Raw genomic sequence first — 18,573 nt, forward strand, 5'->3', positions numbered from 1 at the left:
TCATTAAACTATATTTAAAAGCCACATTCATTAACATCACCACCAATGACATCAGAAAGTCTTTAAGTATTAGGAAGATGAAACATGAAAATTTTAAATCTTTCAAAAAAGTCATTCTTTCAAATAAGAATGGTATCCCGTATCCTCTAGTAGAAGACTAGCTCAACTAGCAATTCAAAACAACTGCTCAAGTACTTTTCCTCAGACAACCACCATACTACATTAAAGAGTTCTTTATGCATACTTGCCATTTAATTACTCAGAATTTTAAAATGTAATCTTGTGTAATCAAGAGCAAGATTTAATAAAATCAATGATTTTGACTGCTTCTTCAAGGACATTCTGAAGCAGAATCAGTATGACGAAGATGATGAATGTGTAATGAAGAAAATAATGATTGCTTACTCTGTTTGGATTGGTGTCTGTCTTATTCTGTTCAGGTTATTATAACAAAATATCCTAGTACTTGGTAATTTATAAGTAACAGAATTTACTGCTCACAGTTCTAGGAGTTGGGAAGTCCAAGATCAAGGCAGCAGCAGGTCTGGTGTCTGGTAAAAGCTTTCTCCTTCATAGATGGTGCCTTCTTGCTCCATCCTCACATGGCAGAAGGGGCAAACAGATTCCCTCAAGCCTCCTTCACAAAGGTACTAATCCTATCTGTGAGAGCAGAGCCCTCATGACCTAATCACCTCCCCAAAGTTCTACCTCTTCACACTATCACCATGCAGGTTAGGTTTCAACATGAATTTTGGAGGGACATCAATGTTCAGACAAAACCTTATTTGCTGTTAAGACACCAGAAGTTTTACGCACTATTGCTTTTAGAAACCTCAGCTCAAATATCAACATGGTGAAAAAGGTAGATCATGCTTTTACTACTGTGCAAATAGTTTTGACCTCCTGGACTTCTGAAAAGTTCTCAGGGACTTCCAGGAGTCCACTGGCTACACTTTGAGGTCAGGTGTTCTGGATGAACTCTCCATGCTCTTACAAGAGGCCAACCTCCTAGACAATGCTCCAGAATGTCTTTCCTTTCTCTCCTACATTGTCAATCTTATCTACTCTCAAGTGAGTCTTTCCCATTGGCATTCACCTAGAAAAGACCCTCCTTCAACCTCCCTTTTCCCTCCAGTTATGGCCTTATTTCTCACCTTTCCTTTTCAATAAAACTCTCCAAAAGAAGGCTTGGATTGGTAAGCAAGAGGAGCTGGGTAAGAGGAGGAGGAGCGCTATCTGTACATATGAATGAGAAGCAAAATCAGCACCCAATCAGCAATCAACCCTTTCTGAAATTAAAAAGAAAAAGAAAACCCAGGCACCTGACATTCCTAGAGATTTTCTAATACATCAGCAACATAATACAAACCTTTTTAAAAATTCTTTTTAATTTACTGCTTGTAGACAGTGTCTAGCCACCACATTGCACAACCCCTCCCCTGCCCCATGATTTCAGACATCAAATATTAACACAAAGTGAGTAATGCAAAAAGAAAGGGGGTTAATCAGACACCTTGAGAGAAAGGAAAAAATAACACTGATTCAATGAGAGCTGTTAATGAGGCTTTTTGTTTTGGTAGATTAATTTGGGAGTCTGATGACTAAGAAGAAAATCTAAGCTTCTCAGGTGACTGCTATTGATTATTATCAAGGTTTCTTTTTAATCGAAGAGATGCTTTCGCCAAATTCTATAGTTTATGAATTTTAGATGTTTATCTGAAATCTATGTCTACCCTAATAGTATAGAAAACTTTCCTCATTAGCAAATTGAAAGACCTCCCCTTATTGATTCTGTATTATAACTTGACAGATGATGAGCACTTCAGGCTGTGAACTGCTGATGTTTAAATATATTACCCTAATATTCTTTAAGTATTGCCAATTGTAAACCTCATTAACTCCCAGCATGTGGCCAAGGCCTGGATTTCATCACGACAGCCTCACAAAATGAAAACAGGTATATAAAAATGATTTTATCATCAACATTATTATATCCTCCTTCACCTTGTGAAATCTTTAAAAGGCCATATATTCTTTCCTCAGAAAAAGAATAGCAAACATAGGAAAGGCAGAGAACATGCTTTATTTATATAGGCCACATATTTCTAAACTTTAGATTTCTTTTTCATCTTTTCTTCTTTGATGCCTTTATTCTTCATGCATCAAAACAGGAACTGTCCCAGGACTCAATCTCTTTACTCTGAACAGAAAGGAATTATCTGAGGCCGGGCATAGTGGCTCACGTCTGTAATTCCAGCACTTTGGGAGGGCTGAGGCAGGTGGATCACTTGAGGTCAGGAATTCCAGACAAGCCTGACCAACATGGGGAGACCCCGTCTTTACTAAAAATACAAAAATTAGCCGGGTGTGGTGGTGCATGCCTATAATCGCAGCTACTGGGGAGGCTGAAGCAGGAGAATTGCTTGAGCCCAGTAAGGGAGGTTGCAGTGAGCTGAGATCATCCCACTGTGCTCCAGCCTGAGACTCTGTCTCAAAAAAAAAAAAAAAAATTAAGGGTTTGATTATATTGCTGTCATTTTGGTACAACAAAGTGGCAGGGGGCTGACAAGGCGGTATGGTGAATCTGTCAGCTTCATCACTAGCAAACTGAGATATCTAACATTCCCTTTTCCAAAAGAAGTGCCAACTTCTGTTTGCACATGGAGTGCAAAGAGGTTCCACACTGGAGATGAAAGACATATGTGTGGTAAATTCCTTTGTGACCCTAGCAAGCCAACTGGATCCCTGAGCCACCCGGTGCCCACCTCACAGACAGTGCTTGGTACCCGTAACCCTCAGTAAGTCAGGCACTCAACACCTCCAGCTTATTCTAGTCCCATGTGGTCTTCCCAGGTGAGAAGGTCAGTCACAAGTGAAGACAGTTCTTTAGCCTTGACTCCCTTTAACGAGATAACAGTCAGTAACAACAACAAATAGAACGTGTGCAAAGATCAAAGGAAGAATTTTCACCTTGCTCTTAACAGGTAAGTTGTATGAACAATGTATAAAAATTATACTTAGAAGATATACAAAGCTTTATTCTCATTTTGAATGAAAAAATAATAATCACAACCAAATCTAAAAGGTACAGTTCAGTTACGTGGTACAGTAAGGTCTAGGCCCTGAGAAGTCCTTAGAGTCCCACCTCCTCCTCAAATGCTGGGACAAGCCCTCTTCATTCATTAAGGCCCACCAAAAACAAAAGGCTTCCAGCCCTAGACACTCAAAGTCTCCTCTCATCTCCCTTACGGAACTTCATAAATTGATTAAATCCATCATTAAGTAGATTAAAACAGTGGAATGCAGGGAGGTCTAAACACAACAAAGAGTATTAACAGCAAGTATGCTGTTACACAGGCAAATCGTGCCAATCCCCTCATTCAAATTAGCCTTTGATGGCTCTCCAGCACTCTCAAGATAAAGAACCCCAATCCTTAATATGAGGTACAAGTCCCTACACAGTCTGGGCACAGCCCACCTCTCCCACCACCATGCCCTGCACTTCCATGCTCCAGGCAAGCCAGCCTCTGCATTTCAAAACACAGGACCTTTACAACTGCTGTTCCCTCTGCCTGCAACTCTCTGTCCTCTGTACTCCCACCTCCAACTCCTGCAACTCAGATGTCACTCATGGAAAGTCTTCCCAATTTCCCAGTCCAAATGAAGCCCTTATTTGGTGTTACTCACACCATCTCTCTCTTTCATAGCAGTATCACTACATCAATTCACATTTATTTCAGGCTCCCTGATGAATACCTGTCTGCTCCATTAAATTAGAAGCTCCAAGAGGGCAACAAGCACTGTGTTTTTTTTTCCATTCACCATGTTATCCTCAATATACACAACTGTGCCAAGCACAGAGATGAGGTTCCCAAAGAGCTGCTGAATAACTGGAGAGTGTTCAGAGAGAAGCTCCAACATGGAAGGCTGACCAATGTACCCAAGGCACTCATGCATCATTCCACTAGAAACAAGAGTGCTACAGAAAACAGGATCCCTCTCTCAGCAAGCTGGAGGTGTTAAGGCCGTAAGTGCACAGGCATTTAAATTCCCTGCCCAGAGTTCCATCCCAGCCCACACATAGGTGAAGTCTTTAGGAAGCAGCCATGCCCTCACAGAGACAGTTGACAACAGGGGTCACTGACTGGAAAATGTCTGGATCAAGCCAAAACTACCACTAGAAAAAGGTTTTTTTCCGGATCAGGCTGGCCCTTGGCAAAGAAAATTCTTCACAACTATAAGCTTTCTAACGTCCCGGAAAAAACAGCTACATGAGTGTATTCATTTCCTGGGGCTGCTGTGACAAATTACAACAGGAAAATAAAACTGGTACACTGAAGAGGCATCTGCACTTACAGGTTCACTGCAGCATTATTCACCATAGCCAAGATATGCAATCAACTCAAGTGCCCATTACAGATGAACGGATGAAGAAAATGTGATACATGCACACAATGGAATACTATTAAGCCTTTAAAAAGGCAATCCTCTCACTTGTGACAATATGGATGAACCTGAAGGACAATATGTTAAGTGAAATAAGCCAGGCACAGAAAGACAAATACTACATGATCTCACTTACACATGGAATCTAAAAAAGTCAAACTCATAGAAACAGAGAGCAGACTGGTGGTTGCCAGGGCCTCCCTTGGGGGAAGGGGACAGTATGGGGAAAGGCCCTGGAGTGATGTTGGTCCAACAATATAAAATTTTAGTTAGAGGAGTAAGCTCAAGAGACCTATTGTACAACATATTGACTATACTTAATAATCATATATTGTATACTTGAAAATTGCTAAGAGTAGATTTTAAGTGTTCTCAATACAAAAAGAAATAAGTATATCAGGTAATGGACATGCTAATTAGCTTGCTTTAGCCATTCTACAATGTATACATATTTCAAAACATCATGTTGCATATCATAAATATATTCAACTTTTGTCAATTAGAAAATATAAATAGCTGGGGCTGAGTGCGGTGGCTCACACCTATAATCCCAGCACTTTGGGAGGCCAAGGCAGGTGGGCTGCTTGAGATCAGAAGTTCGAGACCAGCCTGGCCAACATGGTAAAACACTGTCTCTACTAAAAATACAAAAATTAGTAGGGCACGGTGGCGGACCCCTGTAATCCCAGCTACTCAGGAGGCTGAGGCAGGAGAATCACTTGAACTAGGAGGCAGAGGTTGCAATGATCTGAGATCGTGCCACTGCACCCCAGCCTGGGCAACAGAGCAAGACTCCATCTCCAAAAAAAAAAAAAAGAGAAATATAAATACCTGATTTCAGTGGCACATGCCTGTAATCCCTGCTACTCCAGAAGCTAAAGCAGGAGGATAGCCTGAGCCTAGGAATTTGAGATCAGCCTGGGCAACAGAGCAAGACCCTTTGTCTAAAAATAAAATAAAATATAAGTATAAATAAATAAACAAAACAAATTCCCATAATAACACAACAAAATTTATGCTATCACAGTTCTAGGGATGAGAAGCCCTAAATCAAGAGTTCAGTACGGCCACAGACTCTCCAAAGGCTCTTGCGGAAAATCCCCTCTTGCCTCTTCCAGCATCTGGTGACTCCAGGCATTCCTCGGTTTATGGCTGCAACGCTCCAACCTCTACTTCTGTGGTCACCCCGTCTCTTCCTCTTCCCTGTTTCTGTGTCAACTCTCCCTTTGCCTCTATCTTCTAATGACATTTGTGATGGAATTTAGAGCCCACCTAAACAATCCAGAGTAATATCTTCATCTCAAAATTCTTGATTTAATGACATCTGCAAAGACCCTTTTTCCAAATAAGGTAACATTTACAAATTCCAGGGATTAGGAATAGATCTCTTTGGGTGGCCATTATTCAGCCTGTTAAGGTGAGTAACAGAATTCAAAATACAGCTTCTATTCCCGGGCTTTCGTAAAAATGCTTCTTAGTACACTTAACTAAATTTAGTCAACAAATTGATATAAAACCCTCATTTGATTATTACACATTATATACATGTACTGAACTAACACTCTGTATCTAATATGTACAATTACTACACGCCAACTAGAAATGAAAGGAAAAAAATAACTGAGATGTTCACAGTTTTTGCAACTAAAAGGTTTGTTATAGGGCAAAGGATTAAGGCCATCTAACATTTTCTGTGTCACAGTAAAACACTGAGATTTAAGATAATACAAAATCTAAAAGAAAATGTCAAAAGAGGACTGTGAGATTATGAGAAGAGGCAGCTCAGAACACTGAAAAGGCCAAGGAATTTAAAACCTGACAGGCCTGAGCACCTTTTAGCTACAAACTGCTTAAATACCAAGAGCTTCAGTTATCTCATCGATAAAACCAAGAAAACAAAGTCGGCCTTTCAAATCTGTCACAAGCTTTTGAGAAAATACACACATTATGTTATACTATATATGTAAAATATATATTACACATTGTTATCTGATAAATGTAAGGCTGTATTTTTGGATATTATATGTTTAAAAAAAGAAAAAGCATGTCTATTAATGGGAAGGGGGATAAAATAGAACACAAAGCACATCAGAAGGTATTCCAATTTATTTTATTATTTTATTTTATTTATTTTATTTTATTTTATTTTTGAGACAGAGTCTTGCTCTGTCACCCAAGCTGGAGTGCAATGGTGTGATCTTGGCTCACTGCAGCCTCCAGCTCCTGGGTTCAAGCGATTCTCTTGCCTCAGCCTCCCGAGTAGCTAGGATTACAGGTTACGGCCACCATGCCTGGCTAATTTTTTTGTATTTTTAGTAGAGATGGGGTTTCACCATGTTGGCCAGGCTGGTCTCGAACTCCTGATCTCAGGTGATCCGCCTGCCTCGGCATCCCAAAGTGCTGGGATTACAGGCGTAAGCCACCACGCTCAGCCTATTTATTCATTTATTTTTTAAACATTTTTGCTCTTTCTTATACCTTCAGAGGTCTTCCAATTCTATCAAATAAAGGCCCATAAACATATTAATGTATGTAGCAACCAAAATTTTCGCAGAGAGAGACACAAAATTTAAAAAACAAAGAAAAATCCTGTAATGTTAAATTTAAAAGGAGATGTTATTATGAACTTTCAATTTTTTAAAGTTTATATATTTCCCAGCTCTTTTCACTGAAAAGTCAGAGAAGCAGTAACACCCTGGTAACAATAAGCCAGTGCCCAGAGCTTTGTTCCTAAGCACCATTCCTAAATAAAAGGAATCAGAGCTTCTTGTTGGGGGGAAAAGTGATTTCCAGGTCAAAGGCAGGAACGGTCCAAGGTGAGCCTGGAACAACTAATTTGCCAAAAGCAAGGAGCACCTGAAAGCTGAGAATGAGAAGCCAGCTTGAGGCCCAGCCCTCCCACTGACCAGTTATGAGACGCTTTGCCTGTAAGGGCATACTGGTAATGGAGTATAATACAGAATTAAAGTATGCAAATCCAGTAATTTATGTTGATAAAAAAGATTAAAAGACAAAGAAAAGGGGGAAGAGGAAAGAAAGTTTCTGTTTACCAAGGAATGTTGGACAATATATACAGGAGAAATTATAGGATTAGAAAAATCGCCACCTTTTAAACATCAATAGAATAACCGGTTCAGCAAAGAATCATCATGGATGCTAAAACCATCAGGTGAAAGGTTGCTGGAGAAAATATCCATGTGATCTTGACATATCATCCCACAAATTATCTACTCATATAACAACAAAATGTAGCCTTTACAATGGAAATATCAGGTGGATGCCAGCTTCACCAACTTATCAAACAGCATCACCAACACCTGGACACGATCCCTCCTGAGGAGATACAATGGGTAGTATAGAATAGCTCCTAACCTATACCCCAGAATTTATCCTGAATTGAATCAGACAATGAGGAAACAATCAGACAAGTCCAGAATGCAGGACCTTCAACCAAATAACTCGCCTGGATTTCAAAAGTCAATATCACGAAAAACAATATAATATTTCTGTTCTGTTTTAGAGTAAAAGAGACATAACTAACTGCAGTATAATCTTCAATCAAAAAACAAAAAAAGAAAGAAACAAGAATAGGCAAAGAGCCATTTGAGGTTGGGAAGGGAGGTGAACACACCAGATCTGCAAATATACTTGAAAGTTCTAGTATATTTAAATATGGAATAGACATTAGCTGATACTTGACATGATCATTAATTCTCCTAAGTGCAATAATAGCATGGGGGGTTATGTAGGAGAATGTTCTTAGTCTCAGAAGATAAATGCTGAAATATTGTGATGTGTACAATTTACACTTAAGTGTTCCAACCATAAAAAGAAATTATGTGTGTACGTGTTTGTGTGTAGAAAATGTGTGTGTACAAAGACAGCACAAAGATGGTAAAAATTTTAATAAAAAGTCAATCTAGGTGAAGGGTATAGATTGTGTGCTCACCATATTCTTCTCTCAACTTTTTTGTGACTCAGATTTTTTTTTCTGTAGTTTAAAATTTTTCCAAATTACAAAAAACTGATCTCAAATATTAAGGCAGATAATCCATGTTGCATGTGAACTTGGTCACACTTCCTCTGAAACATGAGCCATTCTAGGAGGTGAAAAAACAACTAGATTTTCCACAGAAAAATGCTTGCTGGCATAAGTCTGTGTTTTGCATAGTTTCAGCTTAAATGAACTAGTGTGAAATATAGCCCAGCCTTTTCCTGCACCACCCTGCTCATACATTACATTTTCCTACCAAGCAAAGAATCCCCCTTGGGGTTAGGGTAGAAAACAAAGGTAAGAAGGTTAAAAAGGAAACCTTCTGCCGCTGGAACAGAGAGAGAAGGCATAATCCAACAATCCTCCAGAATACTGCAACAAGTAGATCACCTAATTCCCTGCCTGCTCCCTCCCAGTCATCAAGGCCTTCATTTTACAGGAGGTTCTTTCCATTAAAAAAAAAAAAATGGTATCTCATTATGGTTATGATTTGCATTTCTCTGATGGCCAGTGATGATGAGTATTTTTTCATGTGTCTTTTGGCTACATAAATGTCTTCTTTTGAGAAGTGTCTGTTCATATCCTTCGCCCACTTGTTGATGGCGCTGTTTGTTTTTTTCTTGTAGATTTGTTTGAGTTCATTGTAGATTCTGGATATTAGCCCTTTGTCAGATGAGTAGATTGAAAAAATTTTCTCCCATTCTGTAGGTTGCCTGTTCACTCTGATGGTAGTTTCTTTTGCTGTGCAGAGGCTCTTTAGTTTGATTAGATCCCATTTGTCAATTTTGGCTTTTGTTGCCATTGCTTTTGGTGTTTTAGACATGAAGTCCTTGCACATGCCTATGTCCTGAATGGTATTGCCTAGGTTTTCTTCTAGGGTTTTTATGGTTTTAGGTCTAACATTTAAGTCTTTAATCCATCTTGAATTAATTTTTGTATAAGGTGTAAGGAAGGGATCCAGTTTCAGCTTTCTACATATGGCTAGCCAGTTTTCCCAGCACCATTTACTAAATAGGGAATCCTTTCGCCATTTCTTGTTTTTGTCAGGTTTGTCAAAGATCAGATGGTTGTAGATATGCAGCATTATTTCTGGGGGCTCTGTTCTGTTCCATTGGTCTATATCTCTGTTTTGGTACCAGTACCATGCTGTTTTGGTTACTGTAGCCTTGTAGTATAGTTTGAAGTCAGGTAGCATGATGCCTCCAGCTTTGTTCTTTTGGTTTAGGATTGACTTGGCAATGTGGGCTCTTTTTCGATTCCATATGAACTTTAAAGTAGTTTTTTCCAATTCTGTGAAGAAAGTCATTGGTAGCTTGATGGGGATGGCATTGAATCTATATATTACCTTGTATGGCCATTTTCACGACATTGATTCTTCCTACCCATGAGCATGGAATGTTCTTCCATTTGTTTGTATCCTCTTTTATTTCATTGAGCAGTGGTTTGTAGTTCAGTTAGAATGGCGATCATTAAAAAGTCAGGAAACAACAGGTGCTGGAGAGGATGTGGAGAAATAGGAACACTTTTACACTGTTGGTGAGACTGTAAACTAGTTCAACCATTGTGGAAGTCAGTGTGGCAATTCCTCAGGGATCTTGAACTAGAAATACCATTTGACCCAGCAATCCCATTACTGGGTATATACCCAAAGGATTATAAATCATGCTGCTATAAAGACACATGCACACGTATGTTTATTGTGGCACTATTCACAATAGCAAAGACTTGGAATCAACCCAAATGTCCATCAATGATAGACTGGATTAAGAAAATGTGGCACATATACACCATGGAATACTATGCAGCCATAAAAAATGATGAATTCATGTCCTTTGCAGGGACATGGATGAAGCTGGAAACCATCATTCTCAGCAAACTATCACAAGGACAAAAAAACCAAACACTGCATGTTCTCACTCATAGATGGGAATTGAACAATGAGAACACATGGACACAGGAAGGGGAACATCACACACTGGGGCTTGTTGTGGGGTCGGGGGAGTGGGGAGGGATAGCATTAGGAGATATACCTAATGTTAAACGACGAGTTGACGGGTGCAGCACACCAACATGGCACATGTATACATACGTAACTAACCCGCACATTGTGCACATGTACCCTAAAACTTAAAGTATAATAAAAAAATTGGGTGACAAGTGCATAAATAAGAAAAGGAAAGTGCTAGTGAAAACTGAGAGTATTCGAAGTACATAAAGACATTATACATGGGTTATATCTCAAACTGCTGCATGTGGGAAAATCAGACACATGAAGATTCCAATAAATAGAGAAAATTCAGAGCTAGAGAACTCCACCTCAGAGTGATAGGTAACTGCAATCTGTCAAAAGGGTGCTGGCAAGCAGCAGGGACAGAAGCAAAGTCTCCTACAGTTTACCTAGAGAAGGAAGAAGGCAAGGTCCTTTACAGTTTACCTAGAGAAGGTTAGTTCTTGTACATTATACTTTGGCTATTAGCAGACATTGGTGTTTGATTAGCAAGAGTTCAGAGTCCAAAATTCTTCGTGTAATGGTAAAAGCCATTGCAATCTTATACAGCTTAAGGAAAACCCATTTTTAAAATGTAAGCAGAAGGCCAGATAAAGTGGCTTACACCTGTAATCCCAACACTTTGGGAGGTAGAGGCAAGCGGATGGCTTGAGCCCAGGAGTTTGAGACCAGCCTGGGCAATACGGCAAAATCCCGTCTCTACAAAAAAATACAAAAATTAGCTGGGCATGGTGGCGCACGGCTTTGATACCAGCTACTCAGGAGGCTGAGGTGAGAGGATAGCTTGTACCTGGGAGACAGAAGTTGCACTGAGCCAAGATCATGCCACTGTACTCCAGCCCGAGCAACAGAGTGAGAACCTGCCTCAAAAGAAGGAGGGAAAAAAGTTCCAACAAAATGGAAGCAGAGAAGACTGGTAGGGAAAAAAAGAATCCAAAGGCATTCTGCAACGTGTCCTATTTGATTCTATATGGTACAGTTTCTTTCCTCTAGCTTTTGCAGAGTGCCTTTCTTGGGGCTTTGGAATCACCTGTGAATTTTTAAAGGCGATTTGCTCAGAAAGAAAGATTATAGAAAAGTAACGTTCATAGAGCTATGTTGTACATTTACTCACAATTTTACAGCTGCCTTGAAAAATACCAAAGGCATATAAATACTCTCATACATCTGCACATCACCACCTTGTTGACAATAATAGTTCTCTGATACGATAAAGCATTCTTTAAAAGAGTCAAATATATACATATTGAATCCCCAACTTGAAACAATGATTGAAGGAACTACATTATTACTCAAATAATGTAATAATAATAGTAGTAAGTACAGAAAATGGTCCTAAGAGATGGGAAGGTATACATTTAATGACTTCCTGGTCATTAGAGCAAAAGAAAGCTGTTTCAAACAAAAAGAATTAAATAAAATAATTAAAAATAAACATACCCATCTTTGGTCTGATCCACCACTCCACTTAAAAGTTCCACAGTCTTTGGATTAGGCTGGCTTTCTCCAAAAATGTTCAAGTATCGAGTGACAAAGTCATTGGGGGACATGAAAAATTCACCGTTTTTCTCAATGCTTGCATACTGTTTAAAAAAAAGAAAAACAGTATTTTATATATTTGATTTTCAACAGTATATAATCATGAGAGTGATATGTGAAAAAGTTGAAAATATCCAAACGATAAAATATCAGATATGATCATGTACGCTTCATAATGACCATTATCTCCCAACAGTTCAAAGAAAAAACAAGTCAAGTTTTATGTTTATAAACTTAACTGGGAGCAATGTTTTCCCACAGGGACACTTGGCAATATCTGATGGCAATTAAGATTGTCATAACATGTGAGGAAGGGTGCTACTGGCTCCAGCAGGTAGAGGCCAGGGATGTTGCTAGACATCCAACAATACACAGGATGACTCCCTGCAACAGACAGTTCTCCAGCCCAAAGTGTGGGCAGTGTCCAGGTTCAGAAACCCTGGTTTATAGAAATTTGGAAAGACAAACTATGTCTTGTTTTTTAGCAAAGGCACATAGCTTTTTAAAAAAAAAAAAAAAGTGGAATTACGAAGTCATGGAGGCAAACAACCTAATTCCTTTGCCCCATTCCTGCTTTAAGAGCATCAATGATACAAGAAAGGATGGCAAACAAGCTAAGCTGGACAGCAAACTACTAAGTGCGTGTCATCTTGGGCAATCTTATGGAGGGAGGCAGTAAATGCTGCTCTAGTTACTGTCCTCTCCATTCTAAGGCATTACCATGCAGAAATGCTCAGTAAGAATTAGGTGGCAAACAACGCTTCCTCACAGTGTTCTCCTAGGTCTGGCCTTTAATGTGATACACTCCAGCCTGGATAAGAGAGAGCCCATTAATTTCTGTTGCATGGAGCCCTAAGGGCAGAAATGCTGAGAAACGACATGGGATCATGTGGTGTCCTTATGAAGCAGGAGACGGCCTCTTGATCCTGGGGACAAAGCAGTGGTTTGGGGACTGAGGAGGCAAGGATAGTGCATCTACAAGAACAAGCCTAGCTGGGTGATAAGAACCACACTGGTAGCCATAGTGATGGAGGGTGCGCAGTGAAGTGCCAGGGCAGTGTCTCCCCTCTCTCTCTAATCTGAGTTAAACCTGATTAAAACTGTTTTTAAAAGTCACTTGTTATTTCTACATTTTAATTCCAATGCAGACTAAGGCTTTGCTCAGATACTCAGTAGTAATATGCTTTGGCATCCCACGGGTCTGGACTGTGCCTCTTACCACTTGAATGGCCTCAGGTAAGTAACTAAAGCTTTTGGTACCTCTGGTTCCTCATTTGCAAAATGAATAGAATAACATTACAGCTTCATAAGACTGATGCTAGAAATATTTAAATGAGATACTCATGTCATATACTTAGCACAACGCCCTATACACAATAAGTACTTTATATTAAATAAATGTTCTATAGTATTGTCTTACAGTTAACATTTTTTTTAGCACACTACAAGGGAAAGGCTCAAAGATGCCCCAGTGATCCTACTATTCTTCAGTTAGCATTTAATTCGGCTTTTTGGACATGTAAAGAATTATATTTTGATTTTCCTAACTGAGCCAAAACAAGATGAAAATATAAAGGAAATATCACTGCTAATTACAGCAATCTTATGACTTAGTAATTATACCTAAGTTTGCCCCTGATAGTGAATAATTTATTTTACTATACAATTTAACTTTTCTCCTACCAGTAGACATTTCCAGTTTTTTGTATTTTTAAATAAAGCTAAGGTAGTAAGCTTTGAATATAACATTTGTCCAAATTCCTGGCAATTTTCAAAGGCTAGGCTCCCAGAAGAGAAATTGTTGAGTCAAAGGAGAGGAACTTCTGGGCTCTTGGTACTTATTATCACACTGCTCTCCGGAAAAGATTGTACCAATTTACACTCCCACCAACAGTGTGTGAACATGCCCTTTACTCACTTTGGTCTATTATATTTGTTGCAAATATTTTTCCAGTTTGATATTTTTATATAATTGAGTGTATAGAATTTTTTTCTCCTTTGAAATTTCTTCCATTACTTTTCTAAGCTTAGACACTAGCTGTATTAGTCTGTTCTTACACTGCTAATAAAGACATACCTGCGACTGGGTAATTTATAAATAAAAAGAGGTTTAATGGACTCACAGTTCCACATGGCTGGGAGGCCTCACAATCATGGTGGAAGGCGAATGAGGAGCAAAGTCACATCTTAACATGGCGGTAGGCAAGAGAGCTTGTGCAGGGGAACTCCCATTTATAAAACCATCAGATCTCATGAGACTTATTCACTACTACGAGAACAGTATGAGGGAAACCACCCCCATGACTCAATGATCTCCACCTGGCTCCACCCTTTAAATGTGGGGATTATTACAATTTAAGGTGAAATTTGGGTGGGGACACAGCCAAGCCATATCACCAGTCTTTCTTCATTTCAAGACTAAATATCAGAGAGTTTATCTGAGTTTTTTTAAAGTAGGTTTATCTTTTACCTTTAAGTTTTAGTACATTAGTACTTTATCTTTGTGTGTGATCTAAGGTAAGAATCCCCCAACTTTAATTTTTCCACTTAATCTCTTGGTTGTCCCACGAACACAAAGCAAATCATTCTCTCTTCCAGGTCTTTAGGATGCCATGTTTATCACATACTTAATTATCATATGGTCACCAGGGAAAGGCGTGACAAAATGGCTCCATCTGCAGTACCAGTTCTGATGAACTGGCAAAGGCTTCCTAGGGCCAACATGTATTCTGAGGCTGACCTACGCTCCATGGGAGAATGCTGGGATCGAATGACAGCTCTTGTCATCACTGCAGTCAGAGATGTTTCAGGACCATCCTTTTCAATTGTCTCGTCTACTCTTGCAAGATTACATGCTATAACTAGAGGGAAAGTTCTGTTAGGACAGAATTTTTTTTCTCTCATTTTTACTGCTGTGTCCTCAAATTCCCAGACTAGTACCTGGTAGATAGTGAAACATGTTCAAATAAATATTTTTTTAAAAGAATGAAAGGTTTAAAAAAGACATTGAATTATTTTACACTTGGAAATTTTTTTGGCCATGATCACTCCTTGATTTTCCACAAATGACCTTTAGAATCATTATCAAGTTGCTGCTCCCTAAAAAAATTCCACTGAAATGCAAAATAAAACAATGCAAGGCAGGGCACACTGACTCATGCCTGTCATCCCAGCACTTTGGGAAGCCAAGGTGGGCAGATCGCTTGAGCCCAGGAGTTCAAGACCAGCCTGGGCAAGATGGCGGAACTCCATCTCTACAAAAAATAAAAAATTAACCAGGTAGGGTAACGTGCACCTGTAGTCCCAGCTACTTGGGAGACTGAGGCAGGAGAATCGCTTGAGCACAAAAGATTGAGGCTGCAGTGAGCCATGTTTGCATCACTATACTCCAGCCTGGGCAACAAAGTGAGACCCTGTCTCAAAACATAAAACAAAAAGCCTACAATGCAATACCATGCCATACCCCCAAGATAACGAAAAAGAATAATAAGTGATGGCAAAAATGTGGAGCAAATGTTACTCTCACACACTGATGGTATGAGAATAAAGGAGTAAACCATTTTAGAAAAATGCTGGGCAGTATCTGCTATAGCTGAACATACAACCACAAGCCCACCAATTTCAATCAGAAGTATATCACCAACAGAAGTGTGCATATACACAAAAACTATGTGAAAATGCCCACAGCGGCATTATTTGTAGTATCCAAAAAACTAAAAATAACACAAATGTCAACCAATAGTAGGATACATTAATGGCTTGTGGTGAATTCACACAATGGAATACAACACAGCAATGAGAAAAAACTAACTCCAGCTGGGCACGGCATCTCACATCTGTAATCCCAGCACTTTGGGAAGCCAAGGCAGGTGGATCACCTAAGGTCAGGCGCTTGAGACCAGCCTGGCCAACATGGTGAAACCCCGTCTGTACTAAAAATACAAAAATTACCCAGGCATGGTGGCACAGGCCTGTAATCCCAGCTACTCAAGAGGCTGAGGCAGGAGAATCGCTTGAACCCGGGAGGCAGAAGTTGCAGTGAGCTGAGACCGCCCCATTGCACTCCAGCCTGGGCAACAAGTGCAAAACTCCATCTCAAAAAAAAAAAAAAAAAAGAATAAACTAACTCCAACTACATATGACAACAGACGAATCCTAAGGGTAAAAGAAAAGAAACATAAGAAAACCTAGCGTATAATTCCATTCACGCAAAGTGAAATAAACAGGCAAAACTTACATACAGTTAGTTTTAACATACAGTGACCAGAATTCAGACAACTGGTTACCCTTGGTGGGTGCTGATCAGAAGGGGCATCAGAGGGCCTCTGGGATGCTCGTTACATGGGCCTACTCACTTTCTGAGTATTCATGGCTGTACATTTGTGATGTATGCATTCAATTTATATTTCAACAGTTTACATTTTAGAAGTCTTTGAGAGATATTATCAGCTTCATTTTTTTAGATGCAATAAAGAAATCATTTCTTAAATATAAGAGCATGTTAATCTGGGCACAGAAATAGTTTTCTCCAGTTTTTAAAACAAGCTCATCACCACGGCTGGGCAGTCTGCTCTGTGATTTAAGTAAACATGTCAAAGGTTGCTCCTTAGGATTGATGGACAGAGGCAGACCATAATAAAAATATGTATGAGGGTAGTGATAAATGCAGCTCTGCTCTCCCTGCAGCAGTGAGCAGAGGGTCCCTATAGGGGGAACGGACTATATCCTTATATCCACCACATCTTTAAAATGTCATTAATCCTTCTTTGGGAATATTTTTCACTAGTGAGCTGAAGCCTTCCTCCCTTGCAATTTTCAGGAGTTTTATTATGATTAAACATACACCTGCAAAATGGGAAGAGTTTTAGGATTCCTCATGCAACCTTGTATAATACTTATTGTCATCACCAAGAAATACCACCATACTCAGTGAAGATGACAGCAAAGGAAACCAGAAGGAACCTATCACTACAAATGCCCATACCCCGAGGGCAGGGGTCCTATCTGGCCTGCTCACCATCAGTCACAGTAAATTGATAAAGGTTTGTAAGCTGTGAATGAGCCAGGGTAGAACCATAATCATCCAGCTACCCATTTTGTCATGAATCACTCATATCCTGGGACTGAAGGACAAATCCCCTACATTGTTTTCCAACCACTGAGAAGGTGCACACAACAGGTCACTGCATCTGCCCATCCTTTACTTTGATTCCCTGTTATAGGGATGGAACAAAATATAATTTAAGGATTTGCATCTGGATTGGGTATTTTATATTAGGGAATTATCATTAACTTTATTAGGTGCACAATGGTATTATGACTGTGTAGGAGATTGTTTTTATTATTTGAAGCTCTATGCTAAATTATTTAGGGTGAATTATAGTGATAGCTAAGTTATATTTATTAACATAAATCAGAAAAAAATGTATAAACTAACATGACAAGTATTACTTTAAATCAGATGGTGGTTATGTGGGTGTTTACTATTCTATTTTCTGTATGTCTGAAAATTGTCACAATAAAGTTAAAAACATATTTAAGAAACATAAATGGCCAATAAACATATTGCTCTATTTATTTAAAAATGAAAATTTTAAATAAGATACAATTTTTCAACCAACAGATTGGCATAAAGTCTTTTTTGTTGCTGCTGCAACAAAAACTCATAATAATCTGAGTTGATATAATGTAGGAAATGAACACTTCCGTGTTCCCACCCAAAATAAATATTGAAATAACCTTCATGAGAGGCAGTCTACCAAGGGGAATCACAAGCCTTAATATGTTCTAAACCCATTCTAACCCAATGGTGCCACTTCTAGGAATTTATCCTAAGAAAATAATGCTAGCTATATGCAAAAATGTAGGTACAATACTATCATTACAGTGCTGTCATGATAGTAAAGCACAGGAAACAACTAAATATTCAATAATTAAATAGTGCTTCAATAAGTTAGGGCAAAACAGAAACAGCCATATGTAGGAATATTATGCAGCATTAAAAATATTGTAGTAGGGTTCCTTTCAGCTGGAACCACCATCTTCCAGTAATTCACCAAAATGGGATGAACACAAAGGGAAAGAGGAGAGGCACTCAATATATGTTCTGTAGGCCTTTTAGAAAACATAGAGTTGTTCCTTTGGCCACATATATGCAAATCTATAAGAAAGGTGATATTGTAGACATTAAGGGAATGAGTACTGTTCAAAAAGGAATGCTTTACAAGTGTTACCATGGCAAAAGTAGAGGAGTCTACAATGCCCCCAGCATGCTGTTGGCACTGTTGTAAACAACAAGTTAAGGGCAAGACTCTTGCTAAGAGAATCAATGTGTGTGCTGGGCACATTAAGCACTCTAAGAGCTGAGATAGCTTCCTGAAATGCATGAAGAAAAATGATCAGAAAAAGAAGGTGTACCTGGTGTCAGCCTGCTCCACGCAGAGAAGCACACTTTGTGAGAACTCACGGGAAGGAGCTTGCATTGCTGGAAGCTATTTCCTATGACTTCATGGCAAATAGGTGTTTAAAAAAAAAAAAAAAAAAAAAAAAAGACCTCTGGATTGTAAAAATGTGGTGTCCACTCCCT

At 39.1% G+C, this 18,573-nt stretch overlaps 1 protein-coding gene and 1 pseudogene across 7 annotated transcripts in view; one reads left to right on the forward strand and one right to left on the reverse strand.

Annotated features, from left to right (window-relative positions):
* Positions 1 to 18,573, reverse strand: part of SLC25A13 (solute carrier family 25 member 13) — a 201,879-nt gene that overhangs the window by 145,088 nt on the left and 38,218 nt on the right. For all 7 annotated transcript variants that reach the window (NR_027662.2, NM_014251.3, NM_001160210.2 and 4 more), the window contains one exon: positions 11,889 to 12,031. Coding sequence is in view for 6 of the 7 variants with exons in the window: in NM_014251.3 (NP_055066.1) it covers positions 11,889 to 12,031 (143 nt within the window). In the remaining variant the exon portion in view is untranslated. The remainder of the gene's footprint in view (positions 1 to 11,888; positions 12,032 to 18,573) is intronic.
* On the forward strand, positions 18,006 to 18,546 carry RPL21P74 (ribosomal protein L21 pseudogene 74; annotated as a pseudogene).

This window comes from Homo sapiens, chromosome 7 (genome assembly GCF_000001405.40).
Source record: "Homo sapiens chromosome 7, GRCh38.p14 Primary Assembly".
Lineage (NCBI taxonomy): Eukaryota > Metazoa > Chordata > Mammalia > Primates > Hominidae > Homo > Homo sapiens.